General features: G+C 39.7%; 1 protein-coding gene across 4 annotated transcripts in view; it reads right to left on the bottom strand.

Moving 5' to 3' along the window:
• The window catches only part of HMCN1 (hemicentin 1), a 456,559-nt gene continuing 454,836 nt past the window's right edge, over positions 17,389-19,111 (bottom strand). For all 4 annotated transcript variants that reach the window (NM_031935.3, XM_011510038.4, XM_017002437.2 and 1 more), the window contains one exon: positions 17,389-18,826. In NM_031935.3, the coding sequence (NP_114141.2) occupies positions 18,460-18,826 (367 nt within the window). In that variant the 3' untranslated portion in view covers positions 17,389-18,459. The remainder of the gene's footprint in view (positions 18,827-19,111) is intronic.

Raw genomic sequence — 19,111 nt, 5'->3', positions numbered from 1 at the left:
AATGAAAGCTAGTTTTTGTGCTACCTGGGAATAAAGCTACTTATCTTTCTTTTCTTTTTTTTGGAAACATTTTCCTAGGGTGCAATCATCAGATAATTTGAGTTGTACTTTATTTCAAAGTGAAATAAAAAATTGCAAGAAAGATAGAACACCATTTATCTTGATAGTGTCAATTTAGCAAGTTGTATCCTCGCTTTTAATCTTACTTAATAACAAGTACTTGGGGAACTTTGCCTGCCTAGTGTAATGGCATTCTGAATGCTGCCAAGTGCTCTATTTCCTACTGCAATTCTTCCACCAGAGCGATGTTGGTACCTTTGATCTCAGACCAGGAATGAGAATTTGTATGAAGACAAACCTTCATGTTCAGCTGTAGTATGGACCATGTTGGCCTTTCAATGGCCAGGTTCAGGCTTTGTGTGAGAAGCAATGGTTAAGCAACCTCAATTTCCCAAGGGAATTACATTTTGAGCCAGTCAGTCCTGATTTTCTGGTTCTAGGAAGGCCACCTCTGGTCTCCTGAACCCCTTGCTAAGGCTGAAACTCATCAGACCCCACCATCTAAGAGAAGGGCATTTGCTCATATTGCCTTAAAGAAAACAAATGAACTCTATCATAAACAATCCATTCCTAAATTTCCTCTAACAATCCTCAATTTAGGATAAGGACTAACTTCCTAGAGTGGGTGTCACTGAGTTCAGCCTTTCAGCTTCTCGCAAAACAAATGCTGTTTCACATTACTCTGGAATAAAGTCATACTTCCTAAAAGAATTTACGGGAAGCTTCATATTTTTGTGTCTGCTCTATTCTCCAGGCTTCTAGCCATATGGAACTGCTCACTCACCTCTGAATCTAATGGTCTCTGTGGAGAATGACTTTTCCCCACTGATGTGTTTCCTGCCCCTTCCCCTTTCTTGCCGCCTGGATAACACTCAGCCATTCATTGCACTGTGGGGCACAGAGGTTAAGAGCCCCGGCTAACCTGGTTCTACATCCAGGCTCTGCCATTTACTATCCATATTATGTTTGTGCAGATTACCTCACTTTTTATGCCTCTATTTATTTATTGGGGATAAATTACAGTATCTACATCAAGGGGTTTTCAAGCATGCGGTAACTAATTTGGGTAATATATGTAAGTCGTGTAGAATTGTGTCTGGCTCAATAAGAGTTAGCTAATATTATTATGATTCAGGTTTTCGCTTGGCTGCCACATTCCCCAGGGCCTTTTAGTCCCGGAGTAGTGCCCCTGAACATGCCCTACTTGCTGGTTCTTTTCCGTATTATATTACTTATCACACAGTATCGTAGTGTGGGAAAGAAGGCTATGCTGAGGTGAGCTAGAGCGGTCCTGTTTGTAGGTATGTAATACTGCCACCACAGAGTAATTATACTTCATCTTTTTTACCCTCTCCTATATTGAGTATTCCAGTCACTTAGACAATGCCCCTTAATCCTGTTTAGAAAAAAAAAAATGCAGCTTGCTGCCAGCACTCATTTAATTTTACATAAACATGCTCTTTGAGGCTGAAGGAAATCTGACTGATTTTCAATGTGAAAATAAAATATAAAAACTGTTCTTGGAGTTATTTCTAAACAGAACTAACATCAGAATCATTTGGATCATCAGACTTGTCTATTTTGGAAAAATCGGATTCCTACAAAATCTTTGGCCAACAACTGTTCAAGAACCACGTTAATATGCATAGGAATGTTACATTTTCTAGGATCAGACATTTTCAGCAATTGAGAATTACTATATTTTGTAAATGGGAATACCACTACTAGAAATGGAATGCTATGAATAGAATGATGTCTTTTGCTTCCAAAGTTGATATACTAGAGTGATGCAAAAATAATAGTAAAAGTGAGATATTTCGTGGCAAAGTTATCTCAGGGTAAATGCTGCAGCCGCAAGCACCACCCGTATTCTCAGGGTAAATGCAAAAAGGCTTAAATTTCCAAACCACGAACCCTCAAAGATACCACATAAAAAGTTTAGCTTTCAAAGGAGGAGAAGATGAAAACCATGCCTGTGAAACATCCCATCCTGTTCTTTCCTTACTGGGCCCATGGCACTTCTTTTTACATGCTAATTTACTGCTGTGAATCTGGGAAGCTGTTTCATTTCTTTGGCACATGTTACCTTCTTCCCCCCGCCTCTCCCCCCACCCTCCTCAGTTTCTCTATACAAAAAGGATAGGATGCCTTGCGGAGTTCGTTCTGGTAGAATTCTACTTCTGTTGTAGATCTGTGTCCAGCATGGCCACACATGCAGTGATAAATATTCAGATGTGCAAAACACCCAGACAAGCACATGTCTCATTACATATCTTTTACTGATGCTCCTAATACCATTGTCCATATGTTGGAAATACCACAGGATACAACAAAATCTTGATCTGTTAGCAGCTATGGTCATCTGGTGCTAGTAAATCACTGTTTTTTCAGGCCCTGGACTTACTGGGAGTCAAGGGTCTGAGAGGCCTAACCATGACCACAGGAGAAAGATGAAGCCTTCAGCCACTCTTCCAAATGCTCTTCAGACACCAGGGAGTGAAGGAAAATTGACTGAACTTTTTGTTTGCCATCCTGATGTTTCTATGTACAGGTCCAATTTCTTCACTCTCACTTTATCTCCTAGGCGACAAAACAGCTGATCCATTACTAAATCAGCCACTCTTCCTTTCCTCATTAATTTTTTATTTTAGTCTTACTCTGTCCTCCCAAGCTCCTGCCTGTTCCTTTTAATTGTTAACTCTTTAACCAGTTCTAATACTGCAGTCCACACGTCCATGAGCATGAAAGTGTTAAATGAACATAATTGTAGCATGGCAGTCAATCAGCATTTTAAATTTCATGAGTGACAACTTTAGAGATCTTTGATGTGGATTCACAGATTCCAACATGAAGAGCTTCTGAGCAACTTTCAAGTGTCTTTAATACTCAACATAGAAGGTTTTTTTTTTTCCTATGTAAAGCCAGGCACATCAATAAAACTCTCCTCAGTGACCCCCACTGTATTAGACATATGCATATTCACTCCTAGATTATCAAACATTTGTTCAGGCCTACTATATGCCAGGCACTGTGCCACTCCTGTAAGCACAGAAGATATATTACTAACAAATGCATTGGTATGGACTTGGAGGAAACATGTCAACAGTTACCATACACTGTTGTTGTGGACTGAATTGTGTCCCTAAATAACTCATATATTGAACCCCTAATGCCAATATATCAGAATGGAACTGTATTTGGAGATAGGGCCTTTAAAGAAGTGATTAAGTTAAAAACAAGGTCATTAGGGCAAGCCTTAATTCAGTCTGACTGGTGTCCTTATAAGATGGAAGATTTTGGACACACACAGAGACCTCAGGGACATGTGTGTACAAAAACCCTTTGCAAGCCAAAGAGAGAGGCCTCAGGAGAAAGTAAACCTGCTTTGCATAATGATCTTGGACTTTCAGCCTCCAGAACTGTGAGAAAGTCAATTTCTGTTGTTTAAGGCACCCAGTCTGTATGGCAGCCCTAGCAGACTAATATAACTGCTGATAAGTATATAGTCCTGTGTGAATATGGAGAAGAGGAACCTGATCTAATTGGGACTGGGGATAGGATTCAAGAGAGGCAAGAAGAGATGATACCTCAGCTAAATATTAAAATATATTTTTATAAGCAGCATGTATATTTTAAAGGCTTCTTCTATCAGGCTTTTGGCGTAGAAGAATATATTCACGTTGAATGAGAATTCAACAGTACACACATTTCCAGTATTTGCATGGGCCTTTTCTATTAACATGTAAAAATATAAATGTCTGATTGAAGAAAGTAGTTCTCAATCTTTTTAAAGGGATGTCCAACATTATTTTTAACTGACATTATATACATATCCTCAACACAGAAAACAAGTTTTAAATTGTTCCCATTGAAGTGGGTAGTGGGGCCCAAGGCCCATCCACTTAGCCTCACTCCCTAAAATAATTCATGGGCACCTTTGGTTATCTCAAGGTTCCAAGGAAAATTATTTATCTAGATAGTACAGGGCAGAACACTCTCCATGCCAAGGTCGGAGCTCAACTCACTTGTAGACAGAGACTGAAAACTTTCCAAAAAACATAAGCTTTCATGTCAGAAGTGACCTTTCCATGGATGCCTGGCATGTTGTAGGACAGTGTGAAGCCACCTGGCCTGGGCTGTAGAGATGACTTAGAACAAAGAAACAAAAGAAGGACCAGAGGGAGAAAAGGGCCATTCACTGCCATCCTTGGGCCAAGGGCTTTACCAATACTTTTCTCACTGCCTGGTTTTGTACTGGTACATGTTCCTAGAAGAATAAGTTTTGAGTAAAGCTTGAAAGGAGAAAGACACTCCATTTGTTAGAAGGAAGTAGAGTGGGAATTCCAGCTGTGGGAGATGAGAAAGATAGCTAAGAATGGTTGAAGGGTGCTAAGAAACAATGGATTGGGATATAAACTAGCCTGGAGGTAATATGTATGTAGATCTTTAGAAGGAGAGGTGGATTACTGAGCAAATAGAGAATCAGTAGACACTCTCAAAGCCCATACTGATGATTTTTCATATCAACCCTAGATATTAGCTATTTCCCTAGATTTTGGACCTTGGGCATTTTTCTGAACTTCTGGAATGTGGTTTCTTCATTTTCTCTGGTTGTCTGGTTTTGTACTCACCTTTATACTTTGTGAATACACTGACTCCAAATGGTTTCTTTAATTCTGATGCTAAGTCGTCTTGTAAGCTATAAGCTTTGGTTATGTGTTCATGTGCCTATTCTAATTTGATTACCAATTGGTTTCCTTGACCATCAACTCTTCTGTAAATCTTATTTACTCTTCTACTTGGATCTCTCATATTTGAGAATTTCTAAGGGGCTTTACCTCTTCTGACCCCCAATTTACCCTTGAAGAAAGGGGATTTCTCATATGGTTGGTCAAGTATAAGGATTTAATGGGTCTTGGTGCTAAGCGGTGGTACATTTAATGGGATGAACTAAAGATTAACAGTTGGTGTTTCTATCTGGTGTGTTCTTTCTTTAAGCTTTCTCCCCTGAGACTCACAATTGCTCCTGAATCCTATAGTCCAGTGAAACTGTGAGAGGCACATTTCCCTGCAAAGGGCCAGGAAAAAGGAGCCTAAATATCCCTTAGTCTGATTTTGGTAAGGACCCTGGTTCTACCCACAGTATAAGCAGAAGGCATGCCAGTTCAAGAAAAACTTGTATTATTAATTGGGGCAAAACACTGAGCTAGCAATAAAAAGCATGTATTTGTCTAAACTTTGTATATTTCTCCATGTAAACTGATTGTGATTGGGTGGCAGATAGTTGGCTGAGGATCTTGGTTACTGGCTTAATATCTTCTGTACATCACTAGCAAGTATCACTAAAGGTCCCAAGAAAGATAGACAAATCCTAATAGATGATTATGTTGCTGAGCATAGGCTGGCACAAAAGGAGGGAGAATTGACAAAGGTGGAAGCCAGCTGATGCAGCAAAGGTGGTGAAGGCCAACGTGAGGGCTGAGATGGTAGACGTGGGGAGGGAGGAACTCATCCAGAAACCACTGTGAAGGACTTCCAAATTCCCAGGCTGTTCCCCTGAGTAGAAAATCTGAAACAGAGTCTTGGCAGAGCATGGTGATTGGGAAACGGCAATCGCTTTGACCAGTTACATGTTGTACGGCCTGCTCCAACTTGGCAGTGAGATTTCTGACTCAGGAGAGGCGATTACACTCTGAAAATTTGGCCTCAGTGTGTCCTGTCCAAAGACCCCTGGAAGGCTGCAGTTAATCAGCAGGCTGGTCATCAGGGGTCACTTGACATTTTGAAAATGTGTTTTAGATACCTGGGAAAGTCTGTTGATACATTCTTTCAGTGTTCCTACAGAGTTGGAACCACTGGTGGCCAAAGGGACATGTCAGGCACTGCCTCCGCACATGGAACCATTTTGTTTGGGAGCCCAGGCCAGAGTGTGATGAGCTTGTCTCCTTCCTGCTGTCTGACTCAGAGGCAGAGGCAACTGGAAATAGCAGGACATGGTAGATTAGAAGCTTGAAAATCAGACATTCTGGGAGCCTGCAAACCAATAGAACAAGAACAAAGGGACTCAGTACACAAGAACAGCCCCCTACCAACAGAAAATCATGTAGGAACTAAAGACTTTCTGTGTGTCCCATTGTCCCCTGCAGAATGTCTGGAGAGAAAGCAATCATTCCACTGGATCAAAGTGTATTATTACCATCAGGAACATTCTTAGAGTGGCTAAAACACAGGGCTTCTCCTTGGAACATGAGTCAAATACCACCTTCCTCCCATCTATCTTTGGATACTTTATTACTCTGTGAAATTAAGTGAAAATGAACACCAGTTTTAAAGAGAAAAACCTCAACAGGAGAGGAATATGAGAGAATAAGCCACCTCTTTCATCTTTTACTTACAAATACTAAGTAGGGAATTTGTGTGTTGGTTGAATGAATAGAAAGCCATGTTTTGTTTGCTTTTTTAAAGGTAGCTGGTAGAGTCAGTCCTTCCTCCTGTCCACATGTCTTTCTATTAGAATCATCTTCCCTGTCCCCATCAACACCAAGGCTACTTGCTTATCCCTCACTTGCCTAGAACAACAAAAACATGGGACCCAGGGCAATCCTACTGTTTCATAGAGAATTCTTCAACTTGTAACTCTTTTTTGTCTCTAAAGCCTACATAGTTCCTGGCACAGAATAAAAAAATGATAATATAATAATAACAGCACTGTCCTAAGGACTGAGTAGAAAATAAATCTTTTGATTCTGAAGTAAAAGCTGATATTATTATATTAATATGCCTATTTTAAAAAGAAGGAAACTGAGGTTTAGACAGGTTTACAGAGATTAATTTGCCTAAGATTATGTTGTTAGAAAGTGTAGCTACTTGTGAATTCAGATCACCTGACTTCGGAACCTTTGCTTGCAACCATTTTCCTCCTCCATTCTTTGTTTTTGTTCTTGTTCTTTTTTGTTCTTATTCTTGTTCTTTTTTGTTCTTCAGGAAAGGGTCTTGCTCCATTGCCCAGGCTGGAGTGAAATGGCATATCATGGTTCATGATAGCCTCAAACTCTTGCGCTCAAGTGATCCTCCCCACTCAGCCTCGTGAGTAGTTGGGACCACAGGTGCACACCACCATGCTCAGCTAATTAAAAAACAATTTTGTGTGTGTGTAAAGACAGGGTGTCATTTCACTGTGTTGCCCACTCTGGTCTTGAACTCCTGGGCTCAAGGGATCCTCTTGCCTTAGTCTCCTAAAATGCTGAGCCACCATGGCCAGTCATCCATTTTTGTATGATTCAAAAATAGTATTTATTTTCCCAAATTGATCTACAGATTGGATGAAATTTCTATCAAATTACCACAAGCCCTTTTGCAGAAATTGATAAAACCCTAAAATTTTTATGGAGATGCAAGGGACCCAGTGTAGCCAAAATATTTTTGAAAAAGAAAAAACAAAGTTAGAGGACTACCTTTTCTAATTACAAAACTTATTCTAAAGTTACAGTAATCAATTTATAGTCAATTGATTTTTAACAAAAGTGCCAAGGCAATTCAATGGGAAAAAAATAGACTTTTCCAAAATAATGCTGGGGCAATTGGATGTACATGGTCAATATGATGAATTTAGCTCTTTCCCCTACATTGTACACAAAAGTTAAATAGAAATGTATCAGAATCGGGAGGCTGAGGCAGGAGAATCACTTGAACCTGGGAGGCAGAGGTTGTGGTGAGCCGAGATCATGCCAATGCAGTCCAGCCTGGGCAACAGAGTGAGACTCAGTCCCCCCTACCAAAAAAAAAAAGAGTATCATAAACTTAAATATAGGAGCTAAATGCTATAATTTTTTTTTTTTTTTTTTTTTTTTGGAGACAGTCTCGCTCTGTCGCCCAGGCTGGAGTGCAGTGGCGTAATCTCAGCTCACTGCAAGCTCCGCCTCCTGGGTTCATGCCTTTCTCCTGCCTCAGCCTCCCGAGTAGCTGGGACTACAGGCGCCCGCCACCATGCCCGGCTAATTTTTTGTATTTTTAGTAGAGACAGGGTTTCACCATGTTAGCCAGGATGGTCTTGATCTCCTGACCTCGTGATCGACCCCCCTCGACCTCCCAAAGTGCTGGGATTACAGGGGCGAGCCACTGCGCCTGGCCTTAAAATGCTATAACTTTAATAAGAAAACATAAGAGAAAATCTTTGTGACCTTGTGTTAAGACAAAGATTTCTTAGCTAGAACACCAAATGCACAATCCATTAAAGAAAACATTGATAAAATGGACTTAAAAATGAAAACCTCTGTACTTCAAAAGACACAATTAAGAAAATGAAAAGATAAGCCACAGCTGGAAAAGCATATTGACAAATCAGTTATCTGATAAAGAACCTGGATCTAGAATATATAAATAATTCTTACAAAACAACAAAAAGAGAGACAACACAGCTTGAAATGGGCAAATTATATGAATAGACATCTCCCCAGAGAAGATATCCCAATGGCCAATAGCACATAAAAAGATACTCAACATTATTAGTCATTAGAGAAATGCAAATTAAAATGAGATACTACTCTATACCTACTAGAATAGCTATAATAAAAAAAGAGAGACAATATTATTGATGAGAATGTAAATAGTATAGCCACTTTGAAAAACAGATCGGGAAATTCCTACAAATTTAAACATAGATTTACCAAGGGACCCAGCAATTTTACTGCCAAGTATCTATGCAAGAGGGAATAAAACATGTCCACACAAAAGCTTACACATAAATTTTTTTGTAGCAGGATTATCTATAATAGCTCAAAATGGAAAAAACCCTCGAATGTTGATCAGCTGAGGATGGATAAATAAGAGTCTTATATGGCTGGATGCAGTGGCTCACGCCTGTAATGCCAGCACTTGGGAGGCCAAGGTGGGAGGACCAGTTGAGGCCAGGAGTCCAAGACCAGCCTGGCAACACAGTGAGACCCTAGTTCTACAAAATATTAAAATAAAAATTTTTAAAAATGATGTAGCCACACAATGGAACACAATTCAGCAATAAAGAAAAAAATATAACATGGATAAACGTCAAGAATGTTCTGCTAAATGGAAATAGCCAGACATAAAAGACCATATATTTTATGATTGCATTTATATGAAAAGTCCAGAAAGGGAAAGTCTATATAGAGATGGAAAATAGACTTGTGGTTGTCTAGGATTAGAGATAAAATCAGGGAATGACTGCAAATGAACATGATGGATCTTTTTGGAGTCATGGAAACACTCTAAAATTAGATTGTGGTGATAGTTGTACAACTCTGTGAATTTTACAAACATTGCATTTTATACTTAAGATGAAAAATACATGGTTTTAAAATTATACACCCAATTAAATCTGTTAAAAAGAAAAGAGTTTTACAATGGGTAAATGAATGTGTCTTCAGGCCTTTAATGTTTGCTTTTTCGGTCTGTTATTCATTTCTTGGTTTTAGTTGTTGCTGGCCTAGAATCCACCATCCATTTTTTCAGACATGACTCTCAGTAGCATCATCAACTCCATCGTCCCAACTTCCCTGCACTTTACCTACTCAGAAGTTTGGATTATGGACAAACTGAACCACGTACATTCTCCACTCTGTATACACTTATACATGCCATTGTCAGTAAATATTCAAGTTATCTGATCTTTATTATTCTCTTAGCAACATTTGCCGATTTTAGTACAGATGCCTTGTGAAGTCTTTTTCTGACTCTTCTTACCTGTGGTTTCACAACTTAATTCTTCTTCTCAAACCCCCAATTTCAAATTGCTACCTTTGTTTTGACCTCTATTTCACAGAAAAGATAGAGACCATCTAGTGTGAACTAATATGAACTCCCTTAACTTCTTGTCTTCATAGTGACAGATATATTTATTTGTAGCACAATTGTCATTCCATACATCCTTACTTGAGTTTGGCAGTGTCTCTCCTCTCTCAAATCCTGCAAATCTTTAGTTCTGCATCAACTTATCTATGTTTTTGTTTTCTTGTGTGTTTTCATGCAGGCCATTGGGTACTGATTGAATACTGAGAGTCACATGAATGCATTGGAGCCAGAAATGTTTGATTTTTCAATGTCAGCTGGACCTCTGTCTCTGCTAAGTCATCCTTTAGATGTTTCTAATTCGCTCCATCTTCTATTTTCCATAGGAGCTATCACAAAAATTTACCCCATCCTAAACTCTCAAACCCTCAGCATATGGCTTTATTTTGCACACAATCTTGACAACCAACCTCCACTTCACCTATACTTATGTTCTTTCTGCCATTTACTCCTGTGATGGACTGAATTGTGTCCTCCCAAAATTCATCTGTCGAAGCCCTACTTCCAAAGTGAGGTTATTTGGGGATAGGGCCTTTAAGGAGGTAATAAAGGTTAAATGCAGTCATAAGGGTGTGGTCCTATGTGAGTAAGACTGGTGTCCCTGTAGAAGAGGAAGAGACATCAGAGATGTGGGGGCACAGAGAGGCCATAGGAAGACAGTGAGAAGGCGGCCATTGTAAGCCAAGGAGCAAGATCTCAGGAAAAACCAAACCTGCCAACACCTTGATCTAGGACTTCCAGCCTCCAGAACTGTGAGTAAATAAATGTTGTTGTCTAAGCCACCCAGTCTGTGGTATTTTGTTATGGCAGCCCTAGAAGACTAAGTCAACTCCTCTTGTTCATCTATTATCCCCCTTTCTATGCTTTAGAGTAAAATCTTTTCATGTCTTTTAGAATATTGCTCTACTCTCTCTTTCCTTTATCTTTAATCACCCTATAGCCTTTGGCTCTTTCTTATATTAAAAACAAAACAGATAGACCCAGTGTTTCCTCTGTCATCAAACATCTCCCCCATTCTTTCACAGTTTGGGAAGAAGGAACCCCTTCCCCCTCTTTCTGGTACCCATTTCCAGTTCTTGCAGCACCTTGTAGCAGATTCCTAGTTGTCTTTTCTTCTTCATAGAACAGAGCATGGAGTTCAACCAAAAAACTATCTTTCTCTGCTTTTCTTCTATCTATTAAGTTCTTGCTCATGAAATATAAATAACAATATTGTGTGGGAATTTCTGAGAAATTTTCTTAAAGGAAAGGGTGTGTCTTACGTCCTTTTGTCCTCCTTACTCTCTGAAATGTGGACTCTTTTCTGCTTCTCTCAGGTGGACTTAGGACTCTGTTCCCTATCTTTCCATTGTACTTTGTACTGACTTCTATTGTAATTACTATAATAATTTATAATTGTTTATTTTTACATATGAATTCTCACTGGGCTATAAATATCTTTAAATGTTTGGATTTCTCATGTTTATCAGTGAGCCCAGCACATAGTAGACATTCAGTCTATACTTTTTGAATAAATAAATGGATGAATGATTGAACCTATGGATTGCTTTGATCATTGTATTAGTCCGTTCTCAAGCTGCTATGAAGAAATACCTGAGATTGGGTAATTTATAAAGGAAAGAAGTTTAATAAACTCTCAGTTCCGCATTGTTGGGTAGGCCTCAAGAGACTTACAATCATGGTGGAAGGCACCTCTTCACAGGGTGGCAAGAGACAGAATGAAAGCCGAGCAAAGGGGGAAGCCCCTTACAAAACCATGAGATCTTGTGAGAACGAATTCTCTATCGTGAGAACAGCATGGGGGAACCACACCCATGATTCAATTATTTCCACCTGGTCCTGCCCTTGACATGTAGGAATTACTAAAATTCAAGGTGAGATATGGGTGGGAACACAGAGCCAAACCATATCAATCATGATAAAGTTTGGGTTTCTTTTTATCTTAATCCATTGATTAGTCAGTCATCCTTGCACTTAGTGTGTGGGGTAAATATTAGTTAGAATGCTCCATGCTAAGAGCAGTGCAGGATAATGGATGAACTGGATTCAAGGCTCTTGCTGTCTAGTAGACAAGAAAATGCATGTGCCAAGCAACCATAATACAAAGCAGAAGGTAAGAAGTGCCAAATGAGAGGTACGGAGATAGACTGACTTAAGAGATGGAAGAGAGACCTTTTGTTTAAAAGATTAGGGAAGACTCTATGGAAGATGTGGCATTAAATAGGGCTTTGAAGATGGCGAGAAATGAGTATGTGGAATTGGAAAGGAGAACATTCTAACATGTAAAAATAGAAGAAAACCTGGATTATGGAAAATGTGTGGTATCATTACATGGAAAACAGGGTACATACAACAGAATTATTATGACATAAATACTGAAAAGGTAAGCTGGGGTCCAGTTATGGGGAAATCTGGGATTACCCTGGATAAGGGGAGCCACTGCAGGTGATTGTTTGTGAGGGCTACAGTGACTCAGGTCTTGAGACCTTCCAGATAAATAACCAACTGATTGTCAGTCTTTCTCTGTGATTTCAGTTGACTTAATCATGACTGTAAAACCTCAACCTCCTGCATAGAGAAGGTGGAGTGCTAAAAACTTTTTTTGACATCACATCTCATTCCTTCAGATTCATCAGAGGAATTCAGAAACTGTTAACAAAATGTTAGACCAAACCCCTAGAGTATGCATAGCTGAACTCCAACAGTTGGTTCTGAAGGATAAGTAATATCTGCAACCACACTAATCTTCAGAGCTGATGTCCCAGTGTATTGGGAGACCTGAGGACTTGAAGGCACTTTGACGAAGCACCAAGCTGAGCAGTATGGTCACCTTCATACTTCAGTGGTAACGGTTGGAAGTAAGCAGATGTTTCTGAACAGATTAAGAGGAGTTTCCTTATTCAGAGTATTGGCAAGTGTTAGGTTTTGTAGTCAGATGGACTTGGGTCCAAATCTTAACTCTGCATCTCCTACTAGTGATGACTCTGCAGCTAGTTATCTAATCTCTGAGCTTCAGCTTCCCTCTCTGTGAAATACTGGCTTATAATCTTTAGTTCGTGGTGTTGTGCCATGCAATGTTTTTCAAATTACCTTTGGTAATTTTTTTTAAGTTCCAATCTGTTTTTTTTTTAAGTTGTAGTCTATTATAGATGGTTACTTTCATAGAATATAATACAAATAACTAGAAAAGTAAAATGAAAAAGATATATAAAATATATGCTTTGTTTCTTTTTTGTTATTGGATTCCACAGACATGAGTCTGGCTGTAGGTCTAGGAGCAATAAGGGGTAATGGGGACAGTTCCAGAGAGGATCATCTGTCTTTTGCAACAGACCTCAAGAGAGGCCATTACAGGTTATTTAGGCAAGGAAGACTAAATTCAGAGAAGAGGGAAAGCTGTTGGCAAGGAAAACATATCAAATTTGGAGTTCAAGGTTTCCAGCTTCATCAGAATCTTCTCATATGTCTCCATCCCAAATTTTAGGGCCATACTTCTTTTTCAATCCATGTCCTAACTTTATCATAAGAGGCATCATGGGGCTGGGAATTTAACTCGCATCGTAATTCAGCCACTCTCAGGATTAGTTTGTGTGTGTGTGTGTGTGTGTGTGTGTGTGTGTGTGTATGTGTGTGTTTGGAAACCTTAGCCCTGCAGTTATAAGAGATAAAGATTTCTTTTGGGTCACCATTCTACTTCATTTCCCTTTTGTGTTGGGAATAAAGCCCTGAGCTCATTATTTTCTTTCTTCAGTGCACTTAGAAGCAAGCAGGCAACCCTATTGTGCTCTCCATTTTCACTAAAATAATCCATGAGAGGAACTGAAACCCACAAACATGGATAGAACCCATGATGGACTAGAACCTGTGCTGGTCTCTGTATGAGTCAGCTCAGCTGCCATCACAAAGTACAAGTGACTGCGCAGCTTATGCAGCAGAAATGTATTTTCTTACAGGTCTGGAGGCTGGGAAGCCCAAGTCAAGGTCTGGCAGGGTTTGGTTTCTGGTGAGCACTCTTTCTGGCTTGCAGGTGGCTGCCTTTTCACTGTGTCATCACATGAGAGAGAGAGATCTCTGGTGTCTCTTCTTATAAGGGCACTAATCCTACCCACCCTTATGACCTCATTTAACCTTAGTTACTCCTTAGGCCTTATCTCCAAATGCAGTCACATTGAGGGTTAGGTCTTCTACGTATACATCTGGGGGAGACAATTCTGTCCATAGCAATCTTTCACCATCTTTAATTTTCCAACTTCAATGATGTAGGTCTCATGCAGGAAAAGCTGGGGTTCTTTGTTACAGGTGTAGACACACATCTAGCTCAGGGATTGTAGAAGATGAAGGATCCAGTGGGAAGTAGAATGGCTGTGGGGCCACCATTGTCCTGATCCACCGAGAGGAGCTAGCAGATAATGATGGGGTCCATGACTTGCAACAGTACCTGGTACCCCTGCAGTGACTTTCCAAGTGTAAAAGCAATGTGGCTGCAGCTTCACTTATACTTTTCAAATCTCATGCTACATGTCTCATGTGGCCTATGCTCTGAAACTTTCAGAGACAGGAAATGTAGTTCCAGCTTACCTAAGCTGACATAGTAGGGAGAAACTAGATCATCTAACACATTTAGGTTATAAAAGGAAAGAAGAATGGAGAGTTATTGATGGAGTGATGTGATCTGATAGGTGTTTTTAAAAGACCAGTCTTGTAGAAAATGGAGTACAGCAGAGCAGGAGTGGCGGAGGAACTTGGGTAGGAGTGCATCATGTGACAATGGTATGCCTAGGATGGTAGCAGGGGAGACGGAGACTTCTATTTTGATGGACTGAATGTGTACATTTTAGGTGGTGAGAAGTTAGTGAATCCCAGGGCTTCAGTTGGGGTGATTAGATGAATGGTAGTACAATTAATATAGTTAGGAAAGACTAGGGTAGGAAAAGGTTTGGAGGATCATTCGGTAGGCATTCAGGTATTCAGCTGTAAATAGAGACAGTCCAACAAATAATTGTTTAAGTAAGGAGATTTTAGACTCAAACGATTACAAGTCCTGGGGTAGTTATTCCAGTGCTGCAGAGTGGTTCAACAAAGTCATATAAAAGGTTTCAGCACCCCCTCCCCCATCCTCTCCCCTCCCCCTCCTTTCTCCTTCCCTTCTCCCTCCCCTCTACCTCCCCTCCCTCCCTCCCTTCCTCCTTCCCTTCTCCCTCCCCTCCTCCTCCCCTCCCTCCCTCCCTCCCTTCCTCCCTTCTCATCCTCAGGGTGGTTGCCCCATTGTTGCAAGATGCTTGGCAAATCTCTGTCCACATTCTGAGTATGGAAAGATTGAAAAACACAGGCCAAACTGGTATGCCACAAAGACTACCCCTTTTAAAGCGATTTCTGCTTACATCTTATTGGACAGAATGGAGTCACATGCCCACTGCAACTAGACAGCTGCTAGAGAGCAGGAGATATGTGGTTGGGGTTTGGATCAACCATATGCTGGATGTGTAAGTCTGAGTGAGTTAGTTAAGGAGCCAAGTGAAAATGTCAGGTAACCAGCCGGACAAATGGGTCTGTATTTTAGGAGTGTCAATCTTTGGCCTACCTGACTCACTCAGATGAACTGAAATGTGAAATGGTAAGTTCTGGTAAATGTGCTGTTATCCTACCCTGCAAAGCATGCTCCTGTGTGCATGTGTGCATTTATGAAGGGAGAGTGGGGCTTGGATATGACTGCCAGCCTAACAGCTAAGTCTGCAGCTGGGTTAATGTAAAGCTTGAGAACAGGTTTTAGAGATGTGGAAGGCTTGCACGTGCTGAGGCCAGCAGCCTACTACAAAACTGGTCAGAGCCTTGACTATCATGTGTGCTCTGAGCTCAGATTGGGCTGTTGTGAATGATAAAAAGATTTATACCCAGTTTGTAGATCAGAGGTAAACTATGACCTGCAGGCTAAATCCAGCCAGATTTTGTAAATAAAGTGTTACTGGAGCACATGTTTATGTGCCATCCACGGCTGCTCTCATGCTAAACAGCAGACTTGAGTAGTAGCCACAGAGACCACATGGCTTAAAGGGCCTAAGATATTTACTGTCTGTATCTTCATAGAAAAAAGTATGTTGACTGTTGGTGTAGATCACACTTCTGTTTAGGTTAATATCGGATTAAGTAATTATACTGTAGGTAGACTTCATTTGGCGTATAAGGGATTGAATGTATGTGAGTCAAAGATTACCCATTAGATCTCTCATTTGCTCTCTTGGTTTCCTTCCTTTGGAGACCTTCCCCTTTCTGCTAGTCATCCTATCTAGTGTATCTGTGGAATTTGCAGGCTCAGAGGACTGTCATAGCAATATACAAGATGAAGGTTTGCTCCTCGCAGCTCTGCTAGATGTCATGAAGGAGGGTTTCCCCACCCTGCCGTGTATCCTAAGGGAACTTTCAGGGTTGGTGATTGATCTCATTGCCTACCTCTGCTCAACCACTGGCATGCTTAAGATAAATTTCAAGGAAATGTTGTCAGAAGTACTTGGTTAAAGTCAAGACTCTGGCTGGATCTTCTGGCTCCCCAAATAGGAATTTCCAAATCAAATACTGTAGTAACCAGAAGTTTGTTCCTACTAATGACTATGCAGTAGCTCGTGTCTGGTCACTGTCCTGTCAATTTCTATGCTTGTAGAATATTGCACAGAGGAAATGAGCAAAACTAATGTGGTTTAATTTTAGAAAGAAGCTCAATGATCAGGGTCAGGTGTTGGAGTTGTTTACCAAAGTACTTAGTTATAAAAATGTCCTTTCTAAGGATTTAGGCATGAAGCAGACGTCTTGACTGTATTACATCAGCATTTCCCCAAGTGTTCAGTGAGATAATGTATTAGGGAAAAAAGATTTGGGATTAAATCTTTCAGAAAATGTTGGCTTGAATAAATTCATCCTGTTCACTGCAGAACTTCTAAAAGTTTCTTTGTTAGTGTCGATAGATAATCTTTAATAGGAGGATATGTTATGTAGTATTTTTCAAACTTGTTTGATCATAGAATGCTTGTGACTAAAAACACCTGTACTAGACTAGTATTCTGTAGAACAGTCTTTGGTAAACACTGATTTAGTCAATCACTTGCCTGACAGCTGGACTATGGAGTGGATATTTTTTTCCAGGTTTCTTTGAATAACGTGTTTCTAGGTTAAAAATCCTTCAATCATAGGTCACAATTAGGCCTTCACTAGTTTAATATCACACAAGATGAATTCACTTGAGATAAGATATAAAAAATGCTGTTTAGGTAGATGAAAAAACTCATGCAGTGGGAGTCATGACAGGGAAGGTATGACATTTCTGCCACTCACTAGCTGTCCTGTCTTAAGGAAGTTACATAAGTTACCTCTGTCCTAGGATCCTGACCTATACAATGTGAGTAATACTACCTCTCTCTCAAGGGGTCTCATGATTGTGTGTCTGTTTACGTGTACGACTTTAAATTTAATCCCTGTTTTAGCTGCAAGGAAACGAATTTTAGGTTCTTCAAAAGGTTATGAAAAAAAGTTGTGAAAATTTATTTAGGCTGATTTTAGTGTAACATTGTTTTTTATAAAATAATTTTATAAAAGAGTCCATCAAGATATTATATAGAAAATGCACACTAAGGTAATATATATACACTTCATAAAAATAGAATACATCTTGGCAATTGCTTAGAGTCTATTACCACCATGTACAGTGTATTGACGTGTAATATTTATGTTAATTTGAACACATGAGATTTTTAAAAAACCAAATCTGTCCCACTGGTATCTTTAAAAATTGCTTTCATTGACAGGAAAATAAACAAAATTCTGGAACGTAAAAGTTATGAAGCTAACTGGATGAAAGTTTATATTAAAATTTTTAAAGTTCCATGCCATGTACAACTGACGTGAGGGCAAAGCAGTCTTTTTTATTATTATTATCATAAGTGGTTCAGCTGATCTCACAAAATCACTGAAAATAATATCCTTGTTCTGAATGTTCAATCAAGATAAGCACCATTTGGGATCAAACAAGCCTTATAGTAGCTGTACTATATTTTATAAAATGAGTGGTGTTTTTCTTCTTAAAAATGAAAATAGGCAAGTCCTATTATAATGTATCAATACTTACAAAAATCTCCGTAAGTTATTTTATAAGCTTTGATCAAAATACTTAGTAACTAATTTTATGATTCTAAAAATAGTCAAATGCTCAAAAACTCTATTTGATTCTGAATTAGTTGTTCTTGTTTTTCGTTGTTTGGTTTGGCTTTCAGGAAAATGATCTTAGGTACTACACTACTGTAAACCATCACTGATATGTCCTGTTAGATGTTCAGAATAATCTTTGGGAAGTAACTGCTCCAGTGTAATAAATAAAATAATAAGGGACTTTTCTAGACCATACTTCAAGATATGACCATGGTGGGATCATGAAAATACCTCAGAAGTACCAAGGAAGGCACACAAAACAGAGTGTAGCACCATTTTCAAGCTGCCAAGATTGCAACTGTTCAAGAGACAGTAATCTGGAAGGGGGCTTGATTGCCATGATTAATGCGGTTTAAATATGTGGAATAGGCTTTGGAGAGTTCCTTAGTATGGATAGGCGGACACAGCTATATAAACTATGAATGTGGTCTGATATTCAATGGTCCCATTGGCACTGTAGGATGAGGCTCGGACCCTCATGCGGTAGGTCTCTGCTTCTCGTAGTGGTCGTGTTGTATACACCACTCCTTTCAGGTTTTCATCCCTCAAGGCAAAAGGAACAGTCTGTTCCTCATCTACCATGAGGAAAGTTGTCCTGGGATGCATCACTCCATCCTGTGTGTATGCAACCAGCCGGATTAAATCTTGATTGGTGGCTATTCCAAATGGGAGGGAGACGAGTTTGTATTCCAAGGCATATGGGCTCAAGGCACATTCCAAATCATTGGGTGGACAGTTCTTGAGGCAGAACCTAAGGACAACAAACATATCAAATACACATAGTTATCTGGAAGTAGGAGGAGGCATGATATAGGTGATCATGATCCATGACAACTTTTAGGCACTGCATGCAGTAGGCAGCCTGGCTGTAAAAGCGGTAAGACTCAGTCGTCTTCTGTGTCACTAACTCAAACCAGACACCAGATGACTAGGAGAAGATGCTGGTGTGAAGTCAAATACGTATCTTGCAGCTCCATTAAAAGCAGAAGTGTCTGAGCCATTGAAGTAAGTATGAATGCCACAAGAGTATTTTCTT

Source organism: Homo sapiens, chromosome 1, assembly GCF_000001405.40.
Source record: "Homo sapiens chromosome 1, GRCh38.p14 Primary Assembly".
In the NCBI taxonomy this organism is placed as follows: Eukaryota; Metazoa; Chordata; class Mammalia; order Primates; family Hominidae; genus Homo; species Homo sapiens.
Note: the sequence above shows the minus strand (reverse complement) of the source record. Positions and strands in the feature narration are given on the sequence as shown.